The sequence below is a fragment of the Homo sapiens genome, chromosome 1 (genome assembly GCF_000001405.40).
Source record: "Homo sapiens chromosome 1, GRCh38.p14 Primary Assembly".
NCBI lineage: Eukaryota > Metazoa > Chordata > Mammalia > Primates > Hominidae > Homo > Homo sapiens.
Genome location: NC_000001.11, coordinates 35,431,813 through 35,450,327, shown reverse-complemented (window position 1 = coordinate 35,450,327; position 18,515 = coordinate 35,431,813). Strand labels below are relative to the sequence as shown.

The following is an 18,515-nucleotide window of genomic DNA, read 5'->3' as shown; positions in this document are numbered from 1 at the left end:
AGGAGTGGGGAGGAGGAGGAGCCACGCGTTCCAGTATATGCTTTAATCAAGTGGTCCCTTATATCAAACCCAGATTGTTCTCTGAAATCCAGGGAGGTGAAGTGACTTGCTTAGGGTCATTCTGTAAGCTAGTATAGCACAGAATGGGTTTCCCTTCCCTGATCCTAGCAGTTGTAGGCTGCAATGCTGTTCCGTATCAGGAACTGCCCAAGGTTGAAACAGTTCAGCCCTGAAGGGCCTAGTTATGGTGAAAGCAGCAACTGACTCCAGGAAAGGAATGGCATTTTGTTCTGTAACATAGCCATGTTGTTCAACCCTACAGGAGGTGTTAAATCACTCTGACCATCACCCTATCCTTTTTCTTTCAAACCTGGTTGAGGGAACCTACACTTTTCACCTGAAAGTGACCGATGCAAAGGGTGAGAGTGACACAGACCGGACCACTGTGGAGGTGAAACCTGGTGAGTTCATTTAGTGATGAGGCTGAGTAGAATTGCTGAATCAGCCAATCAAGGCCTCTATCCTGAGATCCCCTTCCCCGAGCATGGACAGAGCCAGATGGCATGTCCAGCTTTAAAAATAATCGAGAAACCCCAAGCTGAAAAATCCATAGAGACCGTCTGTTCCAATAATACCTCCTACCCATGCAGAAATACAGACCTCCCCCTATTCATCTCAGATGGAGAAACAAACTCAGAGAGGGCAGGACTTGCTCAGTGTCACACAGCAGTTGTGTCAGAGCCAGGCCTTTGTGCTCGTAGTCCAGCACTTTCTCCTCTCCTCGTGACTGATGAGAGAGGGCTCAGAGTGCTTGGGAATCTGAGCATGGGAATAGCTTGAGTCATGATGTCTCATCAGCATCCAGATGCAGAAAACAATTTATTTTTATAAGTTGAGCCTCAGGCCTTGTCTGATAATCCAGGGAAGGTAAAGTAATAGTGCTCTTTACATTTTTCAGCTTTGCAGAAATAAAAATTTTCTTCTTAAATAGAACCATGTTTTTATTTTGCTTTGAGATTAATATGGTGATAGGGAGGCACTGAGTATGGAGGTGGGATAGAGCTGTATAAATTCCTGAGCTTCTGATGAAATGGTATTAACTTTAAACCTACTCTTTATTATCTAGGCCAACCTCATATATGGATGTTTTGGACAGGAAGGGATCTTGGGAGGTCTTCCAGTCCTTGTCCTGCCTCTAGGAAGGACAGTAGCTGAGACACTATAAAATCTCTTTGGTGTTTAAAGTCAGATCACAGATAGTCTACTAATTATGCAAATTATACATCAGAACAGGCAAGTGGTGCATTCAAGTATGTAAATAAGGCATTCCAAACAATCAGTTTGAAATTCCAAATGTAGAACATCTTTAGGACATATTCAAAAGTAAAACATGATAGCCTCACCGTTTTAGAGTTATACAAAGATAGTGCAGCTGTGATGTGGCTCTAAGGAAATCCTTGTGTCTTGGCTGACTGGATTTTCTTTTGTTAACTGTATTTAAACCTGGAGGGACGGATGCATTCCCATTATTGAGGAGGTTGTTGAGATGGACACTTTTCCTCCCATTGTTGTGCACAAAATACAGCGAGGCACTGAAAATCAGATGTGAGTCAGGAGAGATTGCTTAATAACCCCCACTTGGCCTGGATTGCTCAGCACTGCCAGTTGCACAGAGGCTTTTAAAACAAATGTTTAAGTGTTTCTCTCTTCCCCACTCCCGTCATTACTCCCCACCCCTCATTGCATCACTGCTTCAGCCTTATCCCCAGCACATGTGTGGGAATTCTCAGGTTGGTATAGAGAGCAGGAGTGCTTTAGAAGCTTTCTAAGCCAGCCCCAGATTGCCCGATCAGGAATTCACTATTGTCCCTTTCCATTTGAAGGATATCTGAATGTTCTCACTCCTTTCTCTCCTGTGCCAAAGCAAATGCACAGTGGCAGGTCTGTGTTTACTCTCCTACTTCTAAAGCCATGACTGATCCACATGCTTTCCAGATCCCAGGAAAAACAACCTGGTGGAGATCATCTTGGATATCAACGTCAGTCAGCTAACTGAGAGGCTGAAGGGGATGTTCATCCGCCAGATTGGGGTCCTCCTGGGGGTGCTGGATTCCGACATCATTGTGCAAAAGATTCAGCCGTACACGGAGCAGAGGTAGCTGGGCAATGAATGGGGGGAGCAAAGGAAAGACCAGGGGCCCCCGGGCTTCTTGAATGAGCTGAGAAATAGTGTGGTTAGATAGAGAAAGGTGGGCTTTCTGACCAGAAACACTCATGTTGCCTTTTCTTCAATAGACTTCTGTCTTCTAGTGCAGGTGACATGCGCTGTACTAGACACTTCAGCAGGGCTCCAGGGTGTAGGAGGTCAACTATTTTGACAACCACAGTCTAGTAGAGGAGATAAGTAAATATGGAACATTAGTACGGTGTGGGTTTGGTACAACAAGCGGCATTGTGGAACACTGTGGCAAGGACAATGAATTCTTCTAGGAGAGTTGGGGTAGGAGTAATCCAAAGATTTTTCTAGAATAAAGAAAACTTCAACCTGGGCAACATAACAAGACCCCACCTCTACAGAAGATTTAAAAATTAGCCAGGTGCAGTGTGGTTCGCCTGTAGTCCAAGCTATTTGGGAAGCTGAGGCAGGAGAATTACTTGAGCCCAGGGGTTTGAGGCTGCAGTGAGCTCTGATCACACCACTGCACTCCAGCCTGGAAGACAGAGTGAGACTGTCTCAAGAAAAAAAAAAAAAAGAAAAAAAAAGGGGAAAAGGAAACTTATATTGACCAGGCATGGGAGGATGGGGAGGAAATTCAGAACAGGGCAACAGCATTGAGCAATGGCCCTGTGGTATGAAAGTACACAGTTTCTTCCAGAAGAAGTCACTTGGTTCAAGCTTAGTGGCCCCAGGATGTGGTAGAAGACAAGACTGGCAGTGGAGATTGAGAACAGTTATATGCAAGCTGAGGATCTTAGTTTTAATAGTTTGGGTAGGCAGATCCAAGTTGGTTTGTTTTATGTGTGTGAAGTTTTTGTTTTGTTTTTAAAAGCAAGGAATTTCCATAATTTGATTTTTTTTTTTTTTTTTTTAAAGAAAGATCAGTAGTGTGGAAGCTAGTCTAAAATAGGGAGAGACCAAAGGCTGGGAGACCATTCAGGAAGCTTCTGGACTAGTCCAGTGAAAAGGTAATAAAACCTGAATTAAGATAGTGGAAGAAGAGGAGAAGAAATTAAAAGAAATTCAGTGGTAATTCAGTAGTACCTGGCCCTTTACGAATGAAGGTGAGTGAGATAGCAAATGTGAGGCTTTTGGTTTGGATGTCTGGATAGATGGTTCAGGTCATTAACTGAGATTGGGAAGGCAGGCGAAACCAGTATGGATGATTGAATTTGGGGTGTCTTACTGGCTGCGTCAGGAGATGTTCCGTCAGATAGCCACAAGTAAAGGCTGGAACTTGTGGAAGGAAGAGCCCGAGATAGGAGTTACTGCATACAGGCAGGAGCCAAAGCCATGAGAACGGGTGAGTCTCACTAGGAGAGAGCTAAGATGGATAAGGACACAACTCTGAAGGGCATCATTATTTAAGGAGGAGGCAGAGAAAGAAGAGGTAGCAAAAGAAACTAAGAAACAGCAATCAGGTGGGAGGAAAACCAAATGAGAGTAGTCTGCTGGAAGTTAAGGGGTGATCTGGCAAAAGGGGTGCTTCCAAAGGATTCAGATGCTACAGGGATGGAGGTGTGGTGAGAACACAAAGTAGGCCTATGGGTTTGTGATTAGTAGATCAGTGCAACTATAGTGAGAGCATTTTACTTAGATGTTGGAGGCAGAGGACAGATTTCATGGTTTGAGGATACAGAGATGGTCAGTATAACACCTTTTTGAGGAAGTTGGTGCTGAAAATAATATGGGAGGTAGGATTGAAAGAATATCTTTAAAAATTTTTTTTCATTGTGGTCCTTGTGGAACATGAACATCTTTTTAAAATAGGAAGTTTGTGAGCATTTGTATAGACTGAGAGGAAAAGGAGATGGTGGAGATAGGGGATGGGTAATAAATGGAGGCAGATCTGGGGGACCAGCCAAGTTGGAAACATGAGGTGAGAGCAGTGGTTCCCAACTCCAGCCACACAATAGAATCTTGCGGAGGTTGTCTGAACATAACACTGCCCAAGCCTTAGCCCCAGAGATTATAGTTCAGTTGGTCTGGAGTGGGGTCTGGGTACCTAGAATGGAAAAGCTCCCCAGGTGAATTTAATCTACAGTCAGGGCTCACTAGGTCAGAGATAGCACGATTAGGGATAAGTATACTCAGCAGCCTGGGAGTAGGAACAGGGCAAATGGCTGCTTGATTGATCCAAGCTGGCGGGAATTGGCTGGCAAGCAGTGGAAAGATGTTAGCAAGAGTGCTGGTAAGAGCACTGTTGACAGGTTGCTCAGATTCACCAGCACTGCATAGGGGGCATGAGCAAGAGAGAAGCTTCTGGGTTTCCCTGAGCTTCTGGCTTGTACTGGATTGACTTAGTTAAGGAATTCAGGAAGAACATGTGATTGGAAGAAAATAGTATTTTACAGTAGGAAAGAACATGGCCCTTATATTAGACCCAGCTTCTGAGCCCTGCCCTACTAGTGTTAGCTCTGTGGGAAAGTTACTTCACCTCTCTGAACCTGTTTTACTATCTGTGAAAATACTAGTACCTATTTATAGGATTGTTATGAGGATTAAATAAGTTAATGTTTGTATAGTCCCTCACACATAGTGTGCAATTAATGGTTATGAGTTGATTTTGAGACTTGTTGGATTTGAGGTATCTGTTGAAGCTCTGGGGTAGATATTCACACAAGTATTTGCAGATATAGACTGGTCACTCAGGAGAGATGTGGGGAAAGGAGATAAAGATCTGAGGGTTATTGATATATAGACCGAAATTGAAACTGTAAGCATGAATTAGGTAACTGGGAGAAGATAATGGGCAACGGACCACACATCCTTTATGGCAAAAGTTTTTTTTTGTTTGTTTGTTTCTGGAATTGATAATGCCCCATTGTTAATCCCACTGTGCAGCAAGCTTTTAGAAAGTCTGTGGCAGTACTTCTCAGATTTTATGTCATGCATGCCTGGAAAATGATACCATTTATAGGGCACCTTGGGATAAACAGAGAAGGCTGCTTGTATTGGAAGCAACTGGTCCAGGGCCTCTAGGATGCCCAGGTCCCACCCAGCCACACTGCATGATGAGGGGATCAATATCTTGGTCACACCTGTAAACCAGTGTGACTCACTGATTTAGAAGGTTCTAATTGTAAAACTCACATGGAGCTCAAGGGGCAGGCTACTAAAAATTAAGGCTAAGGCATAGAACAGACTTGGTACTACCCAGATGTGAGTTCACATGTGGCCTATCTTGGACAGGAATTGACAATCAGCAAACAGATTCTGGGCATGGAGTAATATAAGTTCATAGCAGCCATACTACAGTGTAAGATCTTTTTGTTGTCATCATAATTGTTTTGGCTATGTTGTGATGCTGTCCAACAATTTACATTAACAAAGCATTGTGGTTTGTCTTTCAAGTAAACTAGTCACAAACCCAGCAGTCTTAGCTGGAAAAAGGTGGACAGCAGGAATGTAGCCATACCAAATCCCCATTTGTCTCATCCTCCAGTTAGATGGAGAGTATGGGTCTTCTTGCTGGAGGAATGGGTTCTTTTGTTAGCTGGGGCAGCTTAGGGCATTTTAAAAAGAACAGACTTTGTAGTCAGACATAACAGGGTTGGGATCTGGCTCTGCCATAATCAACTGTGTGACCTTGGGCAAGTTACTTAACCCCTCTTACAAAGCCCCAGTGTTGTTCTCTGTAAAATGGAGATGACCCTGATAACACCTTTCTCACTGGCTTGTAGTAACAGAATGCATGTAACACTTAGCACAGTGTCTGTCACAAACAGAAGGTACTTAGTAAATGTTAGCTGTTGCTGCAGGTATGGACCGCTTCAGCTCATTAGTACTGTTGCATGTCTCTGCAGCACCAAAATGGTATTTTTTGTTCAAAACGAGCCTCCCCACCAGATCTTCAAAGGCCATGAGGTGGCAGCGATGCTCAAGAGTGAGCTGCGGAAGCAAAAGGCAGACTTTTTGATATTCAGAGCCTTGGAAGTCAACACTGTCAGTGAGTAATTCTGGGAATTTGGGAGCAAGAGCCTACCTAGTGCCTGCAGCTCACCCATTGGTCCTTTCTGTCCTTGGCCTTCATCTTCTTTTCTCTGGGAAGATGGAGATAATCATTCTCTTGCACTACTATTACCATGAAAGAGTCCTGATTCATCACTGGGGATTCTTAACTTGGGGCCCATGGGCCCCTGAGATCGTGTTCAGAAGGCTGTGAGCTTGAGTGGGGAAAAATTTACATCTTTGTTTTCACTAACCTCTGACTGAAACTCACTGTTTACTTCAATGATCAATGTAGGCAACAAACTACAGTAGTATCAACAGAACCTGTGGCTTTGAGGCAATAGAAATCACAAATAATTTCCTATCACATTACATGATGTCATTTTTACTTATCACTACTTCAAAATTATGATAGTTGTTAAACCCACTTCTAGCTCTTGTTGTTTAATGCTTATTTATTTATTTATTTATTTATTTATTTATTTTGAGATAGAGTCTTGCTCTGTTGCCCAGGCTGCAGTGCAGTGGTGTAATCTCAGCTCACTGCAACCTCCGCCCCCCCGGGTTCAAGTGATTCTCCTGCCTCAGCCTCCCAAATAGCTGGGATTACAGGCATGCACCACCACGCCCAGCTGATTTTTATATTTTTAGTAGAGATGGGGTTTCGTCATGTTATCCAGGCTGGTCTTGAACTCCTGACTTCAAGTGATCTGCCTGCCTCGGCCTCCCAAAGTGCTGGGATTATAGGTGTGAGCTACCATGCCCAGCCTGTCTTCTTAAATATTTCAAAAACGTTTAATATAATTATTGCCTTCCTTTGAAGTACTATAGGTATTTTATTTTTCCAATTGTGAGAAGGGGATGTGTGGGACATAAAAGATTAAGAATTGCTGATATAGACAAACAACAAGTGAAGACAGGCTGGAAGTGTCTTTCTAGTGGCCTCCTGACTGCTCCAGTTTTGTCCAGTCGAGATGAGAAAGGCAGGCACCATGCCCAAGGTGGGTCTCGAGGACATTTCACCACATAGCATTAATCTGGGGTGCTTTGGTGCCCTCATGGGCTCTAGGTGCTGCTTGTCACCCCTGGCTGAGTCTTGTTGACTTTCTTCCCTTTGCTGCCACTCTCAGCATGTCAGCTGAACTGTTCCGACCATGGCCACTGTGACTCGTTCACCAAACGCTGTATCTGTGACCCTTTTTGGATGGAGAATTTCATCAAGGTGCAGCTGAGGGATGGAGACAGCAACTGTGGTGAGTTTTCTATGTGGCACAGTGCCAGCCTGTTTGGCGCTGAATGTGGTTCTGCACTGAGTGGGTGGGTGTTGGTGTTTCTGAAGCAGATGAGCAGGCAAGGAGAAGAACTTTGTGTATTTTCTGTTTGCAGAGGACTTTTACTTCCTTCCTCCACACTTGCTCAAGGTTAGAGGAAAGCCCTGAAGCAGTCGTGTAAGAAGAACCAGGCTTAACTCAGATCCAATGCCAGTTACAGCCTAAATCCCACCAGCTGAAAAGCCTCCTGTCTTTTGGAGTGCCTCCGTGCTGTAGCCTAATGGAAGCCCTCGTTTCCCTCTTAAAGCTCTTTTCAGCCTGCACCACTGCTGCAGGGTCTCAGGGCTTGCCAGGAGCAGGGACTGGAAAGCAGGGACATTTCAAAAGGTTTAAAGCTTCAGCTGCCCTTAACTCCAAGGTCTTACCTTCCTGGGGAGCCTGAGGCATTCTTGTCTCCAGAGTGAAGCCACACCTGCCCAAGCTGGGAGCAGCCCAGACCTCCCTCCCAGCCTCTCCCTCCACAGCCCTCACCATTTTGATTTTCTTGGCAGAGTGGAGCGTGTTATATGTTATCATTGCTACCTTTGTCATTGTTGTTGCCTTGGGAATCCTGTCTTGGACTGTGATCTGTTGTTGTAAGAGGTAAGATGGATTTTCCTTTGAAATTCATTCGGGCTTCTTGTCATACATTCGTTCCTCAGAGAGGTATTTGGCACCTTCCACGTGGAAGGACTGGGCTGGGTCCTTAGTCAGCATTAGAGAGTTCTGACCCACCTAAGGCATGCACGGGCAGCTTTGCTCACCCTGAGACTCTCCTGAGGGCAGAGGCACACTCCTTCAGTGAGTGGCAGCCACTGCAGTGATTTGGAACCTGGGAAACATGGCTGGGCGGGAGCAGGGCAAGGTGGGGGAGTGAGCGTGAGGGCCAGGGGTACAGACCCGGATCACATCTGTAAGGTGTGTTTTCTTTAATGCACCACACTGTAGCCTCACCAGCATAGCCCGCGAGTTTTTAATTCTGCCTTCTTTCTAGTTGGGATTCATGAGTGTGCATGTTTCCACACATGCACTTTAGGCTAGCCAGGCTCAGGCGTCCTGTGTTTTTTCATTTGAGTCTTCCTATTGAGTCTTCTAAGATGGAATGGTTACATTTATTTTATGTTTTCATTATTAATAATATTATTTCTGTGTATACTGTGTGCCATAATATTTTTATAGGTAATATCATTTTTAAGACACATAACCTTTTCCCATTTTACAGATAAAAAAACTTAGGCTCAGGAAAGGTACATCACTGTCTGAGGACCAGTTGATAGTGACAGAGCTGAGATTCAACTTTCAGTATAACCTCTTATAAAACTTAGAACTAAAGGAATTTTTAAAAATTCCCACCAGTCTAAGACAACCACCATTACCAACTTTGTTAGTGTAATGCCTGTCTCCTCCCACACCCTTCAAGCAGAGGATTTTGTTTTCTTTACGTTTTTAACCAATCTGTCCTTCATTGCCCCTGTGGGATGGTGAGTCCGTGCCAAGGTGGTCATAGCTCCCTTGCCCTTCTCCAGAATTGCTGAGGAACATTTGAGGAACAAATCACAGTTGCCACCTTTCCTGGCTGAGAAGTGAGGAGAGGACACCCCTCTCAGTAGGTGCCCCACCAAAATAGGGCCCTGCATGCACATCTGGCTCTCATCCTCATCCTCCCAGAGAACCTCTTTCCTGAGCAGGGGTGGGGGTTGTGTTTTTTAGGCAAAAAGGAAAACCCAAGAGGAAAAGCAAGTACAAGATCCTGGATGCCACGGATCAGGAAAGCCTGGAGCTGAAGCCAACCTCCCGAGCAGGTAGGGGCCCTGGGTGCCAGAGCTTCTAGGTCTGTGCACTCTCTCTGTGGAAGGCTGCTGTCACTAGCCCCTCCTGAGTGTGTCACTAACAGCCCACTGTGCTTGCAAAGCATTTTGTTCCCTTTTGCCTGATGAAGACTGAGGGTCAGATTTGCCCTGAGCTGCACTGGACAAAATGCCTCCAGGACCCACTTCGCGTGCTACTTCCGCTTGGCGGGGGTGCTGGGCCTGTTGTTTTCCTTTGCCTGGGCATTCTCCTCATGTTTCCCACCTGGAGTTCCGCTTTTCCAACTGCCCCAGGTAGTCAGGGTCAGGGACCTTGGACTTGTCTCTTACTGCTGACCAGTCTGTGCTTTATGGGCAGAGATGAGACCCAGGCCCGTGTCTGCCAGCTGACCACCTTTCAGCCAGCCTTGTTCTCCTGTCTTCCTATCTTTATCATTTGGCAAGTCCTCAGCTTCTGTCAGTGTCTTAGGGCAGATAGGAGGGCATTTCCTTGCACAAACAGTAAGATGACTTTGAGTGATGGCACTGGGAGATCAGGGCAGGTAGTAGGCCTTCCTTCCTCCGCTGGGCTGGGTCACCTGGCGAGGGTTTCACTCATCATGGATGCCATGGGACAGGTATCATTGGTTTATGAGAGCTAGACTCTATAAAGCGATTCCTAAACACTCTGCAAGTAGAACTATTTTTATATAAAGCATTTATTAAACACTTTTCATGCTTAAAGCTTTGTGTTAGGGAGAGGCTATGGGGGTATAGGGAGTCATCAGACACAGGCTGTGCTCTCAGTCTAGTGAGGGAGAAAAGACACACAGTAGCAGAAGAGAACAGGCTCACAGCAGTCTGGACTCTGCACCAAGCAGCTCGATCCACCAACACTGTCAAGGTGGAGACTGGAGGTGGTGGGGCTTGAAATGAGCCCAGGAAACCAGAGCAGTGAGGGCGGGCGGGGCATTTCACCCAGGAATATTGAGAATGAGGGCCTGGAGGTGAAATGTGCAAAACCCACCCCTCACACTGCAGCCAAGGTTTTTATCATGTTACTCTGATCATGTTTTTCACCCCCTGACATTCTTCAATGACTTACTATTTCTAGCACAAAAAGCTAGAACTTTTGGTCTGGTAGATGTGGCCTTTGTGAGCTTACATCAGTTTGCTTTTCTGGAATCTTTCTCTTTGCTGATCTCCCTCTTTTCTAAACAAGTTCTTCTGGTTCATCCAGTAATCTCTTTCTTTTTTAAAAATGTGGCGACAAGGTCTTGCTCTGTCACCCAGGCTGGAGTGCAGTGGTATAGTCATAGCTCACTGCAACCTCCAGCTCCTGAGCTCAAGTGGTCCTCCTGCTTCAGCCTCCCAAAGCAGCTGGGACTACAGGCATGCACCACCATACCCAGCCCTAGAAAGCTCTTTCTTATCCCTCCCTTAACCTCCTCAAGTTGTGCTCACCTTTCTCTCACATGCCTGGGTCGGCATTTCTCTCGCTGTCTCATGATTAGTTATGTTTGCCTGTCTCCCCACCCATCAGTGAAATCCCTGAGGGCAGGGGCTGTCTCATTCATCTGTGGATATGGAGCGGGACCACTATGTGCCAGGCCCTGTGCCAGACACTGCTTATATTGTGGTGAATCAAACGGACAGACTTCACTCTTGTGTAGCTTATGTCAGACAGACATTAAGCAAACTCACAAATACATAAAATATGCTCATAAAAGGCCTTTATGAAGAAAAACACTTAAGCTGAGACCTGGATAAGTGGGAGCTAGCCAGATAAAGCTGCAGGAAATAGCATTCCAGGCAAAGGAACAAAACTGGTGCAGACCCAGCTGCTAGAAGGAGCAGAGAGCATTTGAGGAGGTAGAAGAAGGTGACATGATGGACAGGTTCACCTTCCCACAGAGTAAGGGGTGAGTGACCCAAGGCTCAATGGATGAGCAGGGTCCCTGCTGAGGACTTCTCTTGAGTACAATGGGGAGCCACTGATAGCTTTTTAAGGGGATGAATGGTGGGATTTGGTTTACATTTATTATTATTTGAGACAGAGTCTCACTCTTATCACCCAGGCAGGAGTGCAGTGGTGCGATCAAGGCCCACTGCAGTCTTGACCTCCTGGGCTCAGGTGATCCTTCCACCTCAGCTTCCTAAGTAGCTGGGACCACAGGCATGCGCCACCATCCCCAGGTTTTTTTGTTGTTGTTGTTGTTGTTTTGTATTTTTGGTAGAGACGGGGTTTCATCATGTTGCCTAGGCTGTTCTTGAACTCCTGGGCTTAAGTGATCTGCCTGCCTTGGTCTCCTAAAGTGCTGGGATTATAGGTGTGAGCCATGGCACCCGGTCTTGGTTTATATTTTAAAAAGACAACTGTGTAGCTGGGCGTGGTGGTGGGTGCCTGTAATCCCAGCTACTCGAGAGGCCAAGGCAGGAGAATTGCTAGAACCTGGGGGTGTGAAGGTTTCAGTGAACTGAGATCACTCCAACCTGGGCAATAAAGCCAGACTCTGTCTCAAAAAAAAAAAAAAAAAAAAAAAAAAGATAACTGTGGCTGACAGATGCAGGGGTTGGAGGGGAAAGGCTAGCTGAAAGGAAGTTAGATAGAATGTCCTTGGGGTTGAGAGGCAGATAGATTCTAGATACATTTTTGAGGAAGACTTGATGAGGTTAGTGGTCTGCTGGCCAAGGCGTGTGGGAGAAGGGAGAAAGGAAGGATGGCTCCCAGCTTCAGCACTGAGCCTCTGTGGGTTGGGTGGTGGTAGTATCCCTGAGATGGGAGAGACTGGAGAAGAAATGGTGGAGATCAAGTGTTTGGTGCAAGACAGTTATGAATGGAGTTGAGGGAATGAGAATGAAAGATTGACAAGGCCCAAATTGTGAAAGTTTGACTATCAGCCTGCAGAGTTAAACATTTATCCTGGTGATGCTGGGAAGCAAAGTCTTGGATAAGCTGGTTTAGGAAAATCAGTCTGGTGACAACATATAATAATTGAAGGGGAGTGGCTACAAGTGTGGAGACCAGCAAGGAGATTTTTGGTCCAAGGAGGAGCTGACAGTGATTCACACAGCGTGGTGTCAGTGGGTTATAGCTAGGTCTGGCAAGGTCAGGGCTGACTTCCAACCGAGAGATGGAGAATGATAGTGCTGTTGACAGAATCAGAACCTCTGATGCAGTGACTGGGTAAGAGAAGATGAATTAAATGGAACTCAGCAGAAGAGTCAGACATGGAACTGTAGAAATAGGAATCTCCCATCTGCTGGTGAGGATCAGCACCACAAAGGGTCACATCCCTTATGGGGGAATGTTGAAGGACAAAAGAAGAGGCCTAGGGTTGAGGACCCCAAGAATGACCATCCAGGAGGGAGGAGGGGATTCATTAGGGGACAGCCGTCGGTGTTTGCTGCTGCAAAGGCCAAAGAATCAGAATTGATAGCACCAGAGAAGCTCCTGGCCCATCAGAGAGCTGCAGTAGAGTGGGGAGTGACAGTGGAAGTGAAAGCGCAGGTGATTTAGAAAGCGCAGTGAGGAGATGAAGGCCCTGAATATTTAAAAATCCTTTTAGAAGCTGAGCAGTGAAAGCTAGAGAAGCAGGATGGCAGGCAGAGGGCAAGGGCCTCCTCTTCCTCAGAGAAGGGCTCATGAACAGATCTGTGGGTGGCAATGTCGAATGCAGGTAGAGGAGTGGTGCGTTGGAGAGGTGCTTCCTGACTGAGGAGGAAGGAGGGAGAAGGGAAGAGAGGAGAGAAAGGGAGCATGGAGTTCAGATGCCTCTTCTGAGGCAGGAGGGGAGAAACGGGCGGTGATGGCCCGGAGAAGTGCCGCGCTGCAGAGGTGAGATTGGATGGGAGCCTGAGCTCAGCACATCGGACATCTTAGGGAGAGGGGAGAGCCATGGGGTGTTCCAGTGGCATCTAGGTGACCAAAACCAACAACGTGCGACCAGGTGAGGGCAGCAGGGCTGGTCTCTTGTGGGCAGTGTCTACCGAAGGGAGCTGGGAGAGCCCGCTCAGGTTCGGTGTGGGTCTGAGCAGGCCGGAAGCACTGGTTCTTGTTCTGGGCTCAGTGGGTTAGCAGGTCCAGCCTAGAGTAGAGTCACTAGGAGGACGAGGAGAATGAGATTCAAGACCATATGGTGTCAGGTATGGAACTGAAGAAGTTTAGCTGGAAGAAGGGTAAACTGAGTGGGTCCGTTGGGGGGAAAGAGGATGTGTGTGCGCGGGAGTCTGGACGGACAGTTTGCCAGGAGCCAGTTTAGGCTGAGGATGAACAGTAACTGAGGAAGGAGAGCAGTGCCACCTGGTAAGTGTAGGGCTGCCCCCCTCAGGAGGCCCCCTTTACATTCAGCAGCTATGGCTTTGTTTTCTCTTGTTGCTGTTGTTTTTTGTTGTTGTTTTTGTTTTCTATTGATTTTTTTTCTAAAACTTTCTATTGAAGTATATTAGGTTGAACCTAGGCTCCTGTCCTCACTGCTATAGCCAGAGGGGCTTTGGGAAGGAGGCAGCTGTGAACAGGTGGGTATTTCAAGGGGTGAGGCAGGGCCTTTGGAGGACCTGGGCCCTTGCCAGGGCCCTTTCCACTGTCCCCACCACACTGGAGATGTCCTGGCGGTCAGTGTTCTTCTGTGGCCCTGCTGCTCCGCTGCCCGAAGACTCAGTAGGAGAGGTTCAGTCAAGACCCAGAACTGTAACCCTGACACCAACGCGGGTGAGGAAGCTCCCTGCCCAAGCCCCAGAGCATGTGGCACAGGCACAGCTGTACATGGACAAGGTCCTTGGGCGCATGTGGTCCTGAATGGCAGGCGCATCAGGGTCTGGATGCGCTCAGCCTGGAGAGCTCGGGGCACTGCCACCCTTAAGTCAGGTGTGGCCAGGAAGGGCTGAATGGCTGGGAATCCTCTCAAGGCACTTTCAGTATGTGAGGGAGATCTGGATCCTTCTCCCCGGAGAAGGGAGAATGATTATTGGATGATGAGATTGTGGTGCTGGAGAGGGCTCTCCCCTCTCCCTAAGATGTCCACCCCTCACCTGACTGGTTACCTTTTTTAGAAAGGAGGGAGGTTAGCTCCTGGGCGTGGGCATTCCCAGGACCCAGAACACTGCTGAGGGGGTGCCACCTGTTGGCAGCTCCCACTCTAGTCCTGCTATCTCAGCCTGCTGTTTGTTTTCTCTGGAGTTTTTGCACCAGCCAGAGGGCAGCCATCTTTGCTGTTGGAACTCTTCTTATCAGACCACATTTCATGTCTGTGGCCGCTCGGCATCTATAGGGATAAGTAGTGAAGGGACTGCCATGGCTTGCAGAATCGCAGGTGTCTTCTTCGACCCCAGGTGCTTCATACGGTTCTTGCTTTGTGTGTTCTGTGATTTGGCTGCTTGGGACTGCTTCTGAGAGTCCCCATTTCAGTCAGGCTCTCCCAGCAGGAGAGACCTGTCCAAGTGTGCACCTACTCTGCCACCCTAGCATCCAGTGAAGCCACAGCAGACAAGAGCCCACAGAGCAAATGTCTACATGGACTGAAACTGCACACTCCTGCTGTGCCAGCACTCAGCGGCCTTGCTGACCTAGGGTGCAGCTAAAAGCTCATTCTCCAGAGCCTGAGTTCTTTGTGCTTTCCTGCCTACCATGTCATTCCACCCATAGAGGGAGGTGATAAAATATTCCAAATTTGAAAGGTAAAGAAAAGAGAATGTCACTGAGTGGCCTGAACCAAAGCTCATGGATACTGGAGATGAAGAACCAGCAGGAGACCCCAGGTGTGCTCTCATCCGTACTCTGTGACACCCCTTAGTGGACTGTTCCAACCAGTTGGGCCCGGGAGAAGGACTAGGGAAGCTTCCTTCCCATCTGCACCTCCCAGCCTGGAGAGGAGCCTGTGACTTGCCCTGTTCCTTGGCTCCTCAGGCTGGGGTAAGGTGTGGGGGTGGCTCCAGCCTTGAGGCCAGTCTCCTGATGCTGGATTCCTTGTTTTCCCTGCAGGCATCAAACAGAAAGGCCTTTTGCTAAGTAGCAGCCTGATGCACTCCGAGTCAGAGCTGGACAGCGATGATGCCATCTTTACATGGCCAGACCGAGAGAAGGGCAAACTCCTGCATGGTCAGAATGGCTCTGTACCCAACGGGCAGACCCCTCTGAAGGCCAGGAGCCCGCGGGAGGAGATCCTGTAGCCACCTGGTCTGTCTCCTCAGGGCAGGGCCCAGCACACTGCCCGGCCAGTCCTCCTACCTCCCGAGTCTGCGGGCAGCTGCTGTCCCAGCATCTGCTGGTCATTTCGCCCTGACAGTCCCAACCAGAACCCCTGGGACTTGAATCCAGAGACGTCCTCCAGGAACCCCTCAACGAAGCTGTGAATGAAGAGGTTTCCTCTTTAAACCTGTCTGGTGGGCCCCCAGATATCCTCACCTCAGGGCCTCCTTTTTTTGCAAACTCCTCCCCTCCCCCGAGGGCAGACCCAGCCAGCTGCTAAGCTCTGCAGCTCCCCAGTGGACAGTGTCATTGTGCCCAGAGTGCTGCAAGGTGAGGCCTGCTGTGCTGCCCGCACACCTGAGTGCAAAACCAAGCACTGTGGGCATGGTGTTTCCCTCTCTGGGGTAGAGTACGCCCTCTCGCTGGGCAAAGAGGAAGTGGCACCCCTCCCCTCACCACAGATGCTGAGATGGTAGCATAGAAATGATGGCCGGGCGCGGTGGCTCACGCCTGTAATCCCAGCACTTTGGGAGGCCGAGGCGGGCGGATCATGAGGTCAGGAGATCAAGACCACCCTGGCTAACACGGTGAAACCCCATCTCTACTAAAAATAAAAAAAAAAATTAGCCGGGTTTGGTGGCGTATGCCTGTAATCCCAGCTACTCGGGAGGCTGAGGCAGGAGAATTGCTTAAACCTGGGAGGTGGAGGCTGCAGTGAGCCAAGATCGTGCCACTGCACTCCAGCCTGAGTGACAGAGCAAGACTCCGTCAAAAAAAAAAAAAAAAAAAAAGAAATGATATCTGGCCCCCCCTTAACACTGGAGCCCCACTCCCTTCTCCCATCCGGCCCGAGATTAGGGAGGATTGACTGTGTCAGGGATGGCGGGTGGCCTCTCTCGCTGCCAGGGCCCTTGTCAGAGCAGCCAGGCTGGACAGACGGCCTCCCTCCTCTCCATCTGACCGGCACCTGCTGCTTCGGGGCTTAGGCCACCGCTCCCTGTCCCCAGAGGAGATAGCCCCAGATGGACTGGAATGTTGTGGCATGAGAGCGCATGTGTGCGATGGCCCCGCTGTGGTCCCCTCTCTGTCCCTCCATCTGTATGTGTTCTGTGTCCCTTGCATGTGTGCGTGTTAGAGTGAGCGCGTATGCATCAACTCATTGGGCTCTTGGCTGCTCACAAGGCAAATTTGACTTGGAAAGACTTTCATCTCCTTGGAACCAAGACTTCCTGAGTCCCCCTCACCCTGGCCCTGTTCCACCATGGTTATCTGGGTATTGGGGAATGGAAACTTTGGGGGAGTGACTTTTTAAAGAGACACTTATAATTTCTACTACTGCACTACTGTCCATTGTGGGATGATTAAACATGGTATTTAACTGTGCACTCTGTCTGCTGGGTGTGCTGCTTCACGCTACGTCTCGGACCCGTGCACAGCTCCCACCCCCTGGGCAGCCCTGTGAGGTCGTGTCCTCTGGCAAGGAAGTTTTGGGCCTGGCATCAGCACATGCAAGCAGTGGTGCTGGGCCCTGCCTGCCACTGGTGGGTGGGAGTGCACCACCCCAGTACCCCTGCTGGCTTTAAGGGAGGAGGGTTGATGTCCCTTCTTCCCATATCTTTTGTTAACACAAAAATGATCATGTCCACCTGTGACCAAGCTGGGGAGACACAGAGTGTCCTAAAGTCCAGGGTGTGGCTTTAGAAATTTTGACCACTCATCTTCCCTTTGGTGTTCCCAAATAGTAGAGGTTGGCCACATGCCCCCAAATGTGTTGACTGTACCTAGTTCACAGAGCACTTTGCTGGGTATGTGGCTTGGGAGGGCTGGTGCACAGCCTAGCACTCCCAAGACAGGGAGGACGGAAGGACCACTGAGCTCATGCTCCCTCCAGGGCCCTGGGCACAAAACCCTGCTGCAGGAGGGCAGCAGTGGCTGTTTTTACAGATCGAGAGCCAAGGCATAGTGAGATGAAGTAACTTAATCTACACACATGGTGACAGAGGAGAACTCAGGCCCGGCAGAGCCTTGCTCGCTCTGCAGCAGTCTCCAACCTCAAGACGAGAGGCTTCTTCAGACAGGTTGCTGGGTTTCTAATTCAGTAGGTCTGGGGAAGGGGGAGGACATAAGAATTTGCCTTTCTAACAGGTTCCCAGGAGATGCTGATGCGCTGGTCCTGGGCCTCCCTTTAGAACCTCTGGCCTAGAAGCACAGTCAATGCCGCATGAATAGGAACCAGCACATGTCCCATCCTGAGTGAGGGTGAAAGAAGTAAGTTTAGTAAAGGGAGGTCTCGAATCTGCCAAGGAGTGTCCTCCAAGCTAAGGGCACAGGTTTGCTCAGTTGACGGGTGGAGGTCGGGGGCAGTGTTGCAGCCCAAACACAGCCACAGCAGACAGGCTCTGTGGAGCGGAGGGCACTCCAGAGAGTGGCCAGATGAAAAACAAGTTGGCCCGCACACAGTGGAAGCCATTGGCAGCTCGGGCAACAGAACAGTGGAGCTGGGTACAGGCCAGACTGCACAGAATAGCTGGATGGGAGGCGATAAGGCCTTGGTGAGGTTGGTGCATCGGGAATAGCTTCAAAGGATTTGGGAAGGAACCGCAGGACCCGACCACTTACTAGCTTTGTAGTAAAAAAGGGAGGCTTCCCTTTTCCTCTGGGCCTCTTTTCTCCATCTTGTTTACCCTCAGCTACAACCCACTGAAGGATATATATACATATATATATTTTAGTTGGAATTTTGCTCTTAAATGGGGAGCTGAATCCTGGGAACACTGGCAATCATGATTTTTCTTCTTTTTTTGAGACAGAGTCTTGCTCTGTTGCCCAGGCTGGAGTGCAGTGGCGTGATAACTGCAAGCTCCGCCTCCTGTATTCAAGCAGTTCTCCTACCTCAGCCTCCCCAGTAGCTGGGATTACAGGCATGCACCACCACGCCCGGCTAATTTTTGCATTTTTAGTAGAGATGGGGTTTCACCATGTTGGCCAGGCTGGTCTTGAGCTCCTGACCTCAGGTGATTCACCCACCCGGCCTCCCAAAGTGCTGGGATTGCAGGCCAATC

At 48.5% G+C, this 18,515-nt stretch overlaps 1 protein-coding gene across 18 annotated transcripts in view; it reads left to right on the top strand.

Moving 5' to 3' along the window:
• Positions 1-16,836, top strand: part of KIAA0319L (KIAA0319 like) — a 124,170-nt gene extending 107,334 nt beyond the window's left edge. For 8 of the 18 annotated variants that reach the window (XM_006710909.3, XM_017002369.3, XM_047430826.1 and 5 more), the window contains 7 exons: positions 323-461; positions 1,996-2,155; positions 6,025-6,167; positions 7,300-7,422; positions 7,992-8,082; positions 9,190-9,281; positions 15,247-16,836. In XM_006710909.3, the coding sequence (XP_006710972.1) occupies positions 323-461; positions 1,996-2,155; positions 6,025-6,167; positions 7,300-7,422; positions 7,992-8,082; positions 9,190-9,281; positions 15,247-15,434 (936 nt within the window). In that variant the 3' untranslated portion in view covers positions 15,435-16,836. Of the gene's footprint in view, positions 1-322; positions 462-1,995; positions 2,156-3,094; positions 6,168-7,299; positions 7,423-7,991; positions 8,083-9,189; positions 9,282-14,730; positions 15,024-15,246 lie in introns of those variants that run through there. The other 10 variants (XM_047430831.1, XM_047430830.1, XM_047430832.1 and 7 more) reach the window with 4 other exon arrangements.
• The last annotated feature ends 1,679 nt before the right edge of the window (positions 16,837-18,515 follow it).